Here is a 7527-nt window from a genome sequence, read left to right on the forward strand (position 1 = left end):
TTTTTTTTTTGAGATGAAGTCTCGCTCTGTCGCCCAGGCTGGAGTGTAGTGGTGCGATCTCAGCTCACTGCAACCTCTGCCTCTCGGGTTCAAACAATTCTTGTGCCTCAGCCTCCCAAGTAGCTGGGATTACAGTGCACGCACGGCACCACACCCCACTAATTTTTGTATTTTTAGTAGAGACAGGGTTTTACCATGTTGTCCAGGGTAGTCTCGAACTTCTGACCTCAGTGATCTGTCTGCCTCAGCCTCCCAAAGTGCTGGGATTACTGACGTGAGCCACCATGCCCAGCCTATACCTCAACTTCTACCTATGTCCACCTGGCTGCCCATAAATTAACCCAATAGCTGTCACTTAAGCCTACTCAGTATGTGCCAGGCTTTTCCCTATACAATTGTGAACAATTTTCTAGTGAGCAAACTGAAGCTCAGTAAGGTCCAGTGACTTTTCCCAAGGTTGTGCAAGAGATGGAGCTCTCATTGGGTCCCATTGGCCTGACCCTAAAGCCTGGGTTCTTTTCCACCAGACCTAATCTCCATCGAGCTGGCCTTATCCTAAGAACCACTTGGGGTATCTATAAAATCCAGATGCCCCCTGGTGATGAGCAATTCTCTAGATTTTGATGAAAGTTGAATGTGTGGATGCTGGAATGAGTAAATTAACAAGTAAGGAGATGAATGCAAGCAGGAATGACTAAATGGACAGACTCAGGGAGCCTTGAAGAGGGTGGGGTCTGGAAGGGAAGGAAGAGAGGAAGGAGAATAGCTAAGTAGGGAGATTTCACTCAGTGCTTACCAGAGCGCGTTGTCTACCCTGTACCGAAGACAGAGGCTGTGGGGACAGCCTAGGGGCCTGGATCTATTGCCTACTTAGAGAGAGGCCAACTCAGACACAGCCGTGTATGCTCCCAGCAGCAACGGAGGTTCAGGCAAGATGCCCGAAGGAGGGAAGGGTGACAAGGGCAGTGGGGAGACTTGGAGAGTTTGTGCAGAGGGGAGGAACACACCTTTCTTTCTGTATTGTATTGTATTGTATTGTATTTTTTGAGACAGAGTCTCGCTCTGTCACCCAGGCTGGAGTGCAGTGGCACGATCTTGGCTCACTGCAACCTCTGCCTCCTGGGTTCAAGTGATTCTCCTGCCTCAGCCTCCTGAGTAGCTGGGATTACAGGTGCCCACCACCTCGCCTGGCTAATTTTTGTATTTTTAGTAGAGACGGGGTTTCATCATGTTGGTCAGGCTGGTCTCGAACTCTTGACCTCAGGATCCACCCACCTCGGCCTCCCAAAGTGCTGGGATTACAGGCGTGAGCCACTGTGCCCGGCCACATCTTTCTTTAGAAAGATCATGCTGGCTCCTGTGGGGAAGGCAACTTGAAGGGGAAGAAATTGGAAGAGGGAAGACTTGACACTAAACATAGAGCCATGGTCAGTAAGTTTTTGGAGGGACCTTTACCAGAGAGGGAGAGGAAGCAGTATCCATTATCCACTCTTTAGTGACAGAGCCCAAAGGAACAGCTCTGTAATGGCTGGGGGTGGGGGCAAGGGCAGCAATGAACAGAGGAGGCGAGGGCTGCTCCTGTTGTTGAGTGCCTTCCAGGACACTAAGTGCTGGTCTGGCTGCTCCAACATGGGAAACTTTCATGTTGTCTCTCAGATCTAAGGGTCTCTCTGCATTTTTAAAAAAATTATTTTGAATTTTTTAAACTTCTATCGTTTTTCAGGTGGTTTTGGTTGCATAGATAAGTTCTTTAGTGGTGATTTCTGAATTTTAGTGCACCAGTCACCGGAGCAGTGTACACTGTACTCAGTATATAGTCTTTTATTCCTCACCCCCTCCTCACCTTGCCCCACCCCCAGTCTATATCATTCTCATCTGCATTTGTTTTTTGAGAGGTAGGGTGAGGTCTGCTGCATTAGCCCAGAGACAGCTGAGGAGGCTGGAAAGGAAAATGGCTTTCAGAGAATAGGGAAGGAAAAAGTCTGAGGAAGCAAAACTACTTAAAAAACACTGCTCTTTCCATTTCCGTATCATTTAACCAAACACCATCCTGTGGGTTCTGTCACTTGATCCTCATGCTGATCTGAGAACTCGGCAGAGCTGGGTCACTGCCTTCCCCAAGGCTAACCTGGTTTCTAAGCTGGCACAAGACCCCAGGTGATCTATCATCTAACCACAGAGCCCTTGCTGGACAGAGGGTGAAGACATTATGTGTCCCTGGCTCTGTTCAGGGAAGCAGAGGATAGACCTGAAGAATTTAATTACTTGTCATAGATAAAGCCTAGAGAAAAGGTGAGGGCGCAAAGTATCTCCTCCAAATTGGGAAGACTCCCCCAGGGCTCACTCACTAACGCCAGTTCTCCTGAGCCTTTAAAGCCTGGGGGTGAGGGAGCCCTCCTGGTCAACCCTCTCTACCCTAGCCTCAGGGAGCTTCAGGGCCCCAGCATTGAAGGAACAGGGTCTGACCTCATTTGCCACCGTAGGGTTGGGGAGACTGAGGCAGGAGGTGAATGGGCTCCCAGCTTGGAGCCCTTTCCCCTCAGGACTTGGTTTCCCTACCCTAGCTCCGCCTGCAGGGACAGAAAGACATGGTCTGGAAATGGATGCCACTTCTGCTGCTTCTGGTCTGTGTAGCCACCATGTGCAGTGCCCAGGACAGGACTGATCTCCTCAATGTCTGTATGGATGCCAAGCACCACAAGACAAAGCCAGGTCCTGAGGACAAGCTGCATGACCAAGTACGGCTGGAGTGTGCCTCTGCTAAGGAGGGGGCTTGTTCTAACAGGGAGGAGAAAGTCAGGATGGTGGGAGAGGGATTGAGGGGTCAGATACCTCCACATCCTGAAGTTTTCCTGTGGGAGAAGATGAAGGTGGAGTAGGAAGAGTGGCTGAGGTGATTTTAGGGGGGCCCTCCCCGGAGGTGGATACCATGTTGACAATGATATTGAGTCGTCATTCGATGGGCACCTGTCAGTTGTCATGTGTTTTTTGTACAAAATTTCATATTCCCAGGGGTTCTTGGATGTAGGTAGATGATATTCTCCACATTACACAAGTAAGTGAAAATGAGGCTCACAGAAGCACATGGGCCCACACAGGAGCTGGACATGAATGGCCCCTGTGGAGGGGTAGGAATAGGAGTGGGTTAGGCTCCTCCTTTGGTGGGTGACAGACTAGGGAGTCGCTGGCTTTTCCCACCCTCACTAAGTGCCATTTCCATGGAGTGCCAAGGGAGAAGAGGAGGAGGCCCTTCTGGCTGTAATTTGAGGCACAGGGGCTGGACATTCACACAGTCTATATACATGTATGCCAGGGGATTGCAGCCTTATTAGACTCAATGTCTCCCTTTTATGACAGATTTTTTTTTAGATTCTCTTTTCTATCCTGCAATGAAATTCAAAGAACCTATTTGTATGCATAATTTTTGCAAATATCAACATAATGCTCTGTAATATAAAGGAGAAACACACAGAAAGTAACTTGTAATAAAATAATATATATTTCAATATGTCAGTTCTCTGGTATGACTACATTAGAAGGCATTAGGAAATAGCACATGCTTGCTTTTGTCATAAAATCATTATAAGTGGGGAGCTACAAATGAAGATTGATACAGGTATATTCTATTGGTGACTTAAACACTATAAGATACTATAATATAAGCAATGTTGCTGTTGATGTCATACTTTTCTAAAATAGTGAATAATTCTAGTAGAATAAACCACATAGTACAGCCTTCTATTTCATGGTATTTGCAGTCCTGGAAAACCCAGTCTAGATTAAAATCTTGTGAAAACATGATGTGCCTATATGTAAGATAGAGATACATTTAAAAAGTAGGGCTTTTGCTTACTTTTTTTTTTTTTTTTGAGAAGGAGTCTCACTCTGTTGCCCAGGCTGGAGTGCAATGGTGTGATCTCAGCTCACGGCAACCTCCGCCTCCGGGGTTCTGGTGATTCTCCTGCCTCAGCCTCCCAAGTAGCTGGGGCACCCGCCACCATGCCTGGCTAATTTTTTTGTATTTTTACCAGAGACGAGGTTTCACCATGTTGGCCAGGGTGGTCTCAAACTCCTGACCTCAGGTGGTAGACCTGCCTCGGCCTCCCAAAGTGCTGGGGTTACAGCTACGAGCCACCACGCCCAGCCTGGCTTTTGCTTACTTTTTCCAGCAAATATTTTCATGGGCCTACTATGTGTCTGGCACTGGCCTAGCCACTGGGGACACAGATCTTACTACATGCCAAGAAGAATAAATATATTCAAACTCCATTACTCCATGGCTCGCTCCCTCTCTTCCTTTGCTCAAAATGTCACCAATGTGGCATTTCCTAACCTATTTAAAATTTCAGCAATTCCACATTACCATTTCCTGCTCATATCATTTAACTTTTCCCATATCATTTATCATATCCTGACATACCATATATATATATTTTTTAAGTTTCTTACTGTCTGTCTCCTCTGACCAGAATGAAAATTCCATGAATACATATTTCTGTCTGTTTTGTTCTCTTCTGTATTCCCAGCATCTATAACCGTGACTGGCATAAAGTAGGTGCTCAATAATTTTTAAATGAGTAAGTGAAAGGACTTTTTATGAAGTGTTACATACCTCATAAATGATAACTATTATTCCCAAGACAGGGTTTCCCCTGGGCTCCCACAGTCCCCTGATCACACGGTTGTAATTGTGTTTCCTCCAAGAAAGGGGTTCCTGGAGGCCTAGGAGAGAGGGACCATCATCTGGGAACCTGAGTGTTCTCAGGACAACCTGCCTAGGGCAGAGGAGTAAGAACCAAATGGGGGAGAGACACGAGGTGGCAGGAGGAGGAGGGTATGGGGAGGCACTTAGTCCTGTGTCTTCCCCACCCAGTGCAGTCCCTGGAAGAAGAATGCCTGCTGCACAGCCAGCACCAGCCAGGAGCTGCACAAGGACACCTCCCGCCTGTACAACTTTAACTGGGACCACTGCGGCAAGATGGAGCCCGCCTGCAAGCGCCACTTCATCCAGGACACCTGTCTCTATGAGTGCTCACCCAACCTGGGGCCCTGGATCCAGCAGGTAGGGTGTCTCCCCCCCACCCACCCCAGCAGACTGCCATCCCCCTCAGTCACTTCAAGGCGATGGCTGCCAGCATCCCTGGCTGAGAGGAGCCCTGCCTCCCCACCTCCCACCCAGGTGAATCAGAGCTGGCGCAAAGAACGCTTCCTGGATGTGCCCTTATGCAAAGAGGACTGTCAGCGCTGGTGGGAGGATTGTCACACCTCCCACACGTGCAAGAGCAACTGGCACAGAGGATGGGACTGGACCTCAGGTGAGGGTGATTGAGTTGGGGTTAGGAAAAAGGAGATTGAGGTAGGGTTTGGAAAATCTTCAAGGATTTGGGGTGGGGTGAAGATTTCTGGGGGTGGCCAGAAATGAGCTTTGGGCCCAGGGGCTGAAAGTCTGTGTCCACCATGCCTCTCCCTGCAGGAGTTAACAAGTGCCCAGCTGGGGCTCTCTGCCGCACCTTTGAGTCCTACTTCCCCACTCCAGCTGCCCTTTGTGAAGGCCTCTGGAGTCACTCATACAAGGTCAGCAACTACAGCCGAGGGAGCGGCCGCTGCATCCAGATGTGGTTTGATTCAGCCCAGGGCAACCCCAACGAGGAAGTGGCGAGGTTCTATGCTGCAGCCATGCATGTGAATGCTGGTGAGATGCTTCATGGGACTGGGGGTCTCCTGCTCAGTCTGGCCCTGATGCTGCAACTCTGGCTCCTTGGCTGAGTTCAGTCCTCCCAGACTACCTGCCCTCAGCTTGGATAACCAGGCTGGGCTCAGCTCAGCTCCCACAAATGACAGCCCCTTAAGCATGCTTCTATTAGTCACCTAACCCTCTGTCACCCAGTCTGTTGCTGCTCCATGGTGGGGCCAAGAGTCACTTCTAATAAACAGACTGTTTTCTAATAATTCCATGTCTGTGGAATTGTTTTGGTTGTGAGTTTGTGGGTGGGTGGGAGACAGATTCTACGGCTTCTGGATTCCTTCAAATTAGAGCAACTAGACCTGTGTTTGAATCCCAGCTCTGCTACTTTGTGAAAATGAAACAGTTGCTTCACTGCTCTAAACCTTTGTTTCCTTCTGGATAAAAAGAGGATAATAGTCCTGCCCTCAGGCTTGTGAAATATACAGGAGCTGTTGCCTAGAAAGCCCGTGAGCCCAGTGTCTGCACATTAATAGTCTTCAGGGATCCTGTTGTTCCTGTTGCCCCAAGTGGGAGCCAGGTCCTGAGCTTATTTGTCTTGGTCTCCAAACAGCCTCCTGGTCCTCCAGCCCTTGTGCCTGGCTCTGTGCTCGGCTCTGTAACAGGAAAGCTGGGAATGGGAGTCCAGGAAAGGATTCAGATTGCCAGTGGGATGAAAAAAATTCACAGTGGGATGAAAAAAACGTGATGCACATTGAAGGAGCAGAGTTGGGGCCTGGGACTCTCAGAGGAAAAACAGAGCCAATTGGAGAGGGCAGTGTAGGGGGTTTCTGGAGTGGAATACTCAAGAGCCTGGAACTGGTTCAGCGCTTTGGTGTCCTGGAGGTGTGGCTGGAAGAGTTAGAAACCCTTAAGGGCTTCCCGGGGTCAGGAGCCTCTGGCACCTTTGTCTCCTCCTGGGATTGGCAGATATGCCTATCTTGAGGGGGTTGCTCTGTCTTTGCAAAGCCCTCGGGAGCTGGGCCTAAGTTATCTCTGGGTCTCCCAACACCCCTTTCCCTTTGGATAAGTCTTTGTTTGCACACTCCTACTACAACTGTCCCCAGAGAGGCCCAGGTAAGTCTCTGAGAACACCCTGCAGGTAGGTGGCCCAGCTAGGACTAGAACCCAGGTGTGCAGACTCCCAGTCCAGGTCTCTCCCCCACTACCAAGGATTCCCCTCACATCAGGCTCATCTTTTCTTATACTAAAAGGTGGCTGATGAGAACGGTGGCACAGATTGTAGGATGAGTTATTGGGTTCTGGAGGCACTGTTGGGTGGGTGGGTGGATCTCTTAGTTATTATATTTATCTAGTGTGGAAGGCCCCACAGAGCCCCTTCCACGTCCCAGGCTCTGCTCCAGCTGGGTTAAGTCAATGCATATTTGAAATAGAGGAAGGAGCTCGAGGGACTGACCCGGGCTCCGTCAACAGGTTCAACGTAGCAAAGTGAAAGTTCTCTCCCAGGTTAAAGGGATTCTCCCACGGCGGCCCAGGAGATGGTGGCGGCGGGCGCCCGGCTGGAGGCCTGCGCCTTTAAGGAGCCAGGGGGCGGAGGGGCGGGGCAGGAAGACGACTCCCCGGAGACGCCGCCACCGGCTAGGTCTTTTTTTGGGAGGGGGCGGGCCAGACCCTTTTATGGGCTCCGCCCCCTTTGCGGCTGCCGCGTCCCCCTTCCGCCCTCGGCTGGAGGGGAGGAAGCTAGGGGGGCGTTGCAGCGGACCCCGTCTGGGAGCTCCCCGCTGGGCGTCCGGCCCGCGGAGGCGCGAGTTTGCTGACTCGGAGGGAGCCGCTGGGGCGGGGGC

The 7527-nt window shown here is 50.3% G+C and overlaps 1 protein-coding gene across 6 annotated transcripts, besides 1 other annotated feature; it reads left to right on the forward strand.

Moving 5' to 3' along the window:
• The first annotated feature begins 797 nt into the window (after nt 1-797).
• FOLR2 (folate receptor beta) lies at nt 798-5954 on the forward strand. 6 transcript variants are annotated; one of them, XM_047426683.1, is made up of 6 exons: nt 798-929; nt 1724-1741; nt 2565-2738; nt 4874-5062; nt 5180-5315; nt 5474-5954. In XM_047426683.1, exons 3-6 carry the CDS (start codon nt 2589-2591, stop codon nt 5764-5766), a joined length of 768 nt encoding a protein of 255 aa, XP_047282639.1. In that variant the 5' UTR covers nt 798-929; nt 1724-1741; nt 2565-2588; the 3' UTR covers nt 5767-5954. The 6 variants fall into 6 exon arrangements, with proteins under 6 accessions (XP_047282639.1, NP_000794.3, NP_001107007.1 ...); NM_000803.5 differs by lacking the exon at nt 1724-1741; NM_001113535.2 differs by lacking the exon at nt 1724-1741 and having other exon boundaries at nt 2577-2738.
• Nucleotides 7257-7486: a silencer, noted in NCBI's record as "silent region_3714". NCBI's record gives its function as "represses an Ori minimal core promoter by ATAC-STARR-seq in GM12878 lymphoblastoid cells {active_cell/tissue: GM12878}" and the evidence as "EXISTENCE:reporter gene assay evidence [ECO:0000049][PMID:35858748]".

Source organism: Homo sapiens, chromosome 11 (genome assembly GCF_000001405.40).
Source record: "Homo sapiens chromosome 11, GRCh38.p14 Primary Assembly".
Taxonomy (NCBI): Eukaryota; Metazoa; Chordata; class Mammalia; order Primates; family Hominidae; genus Homo; species Homo sapiens.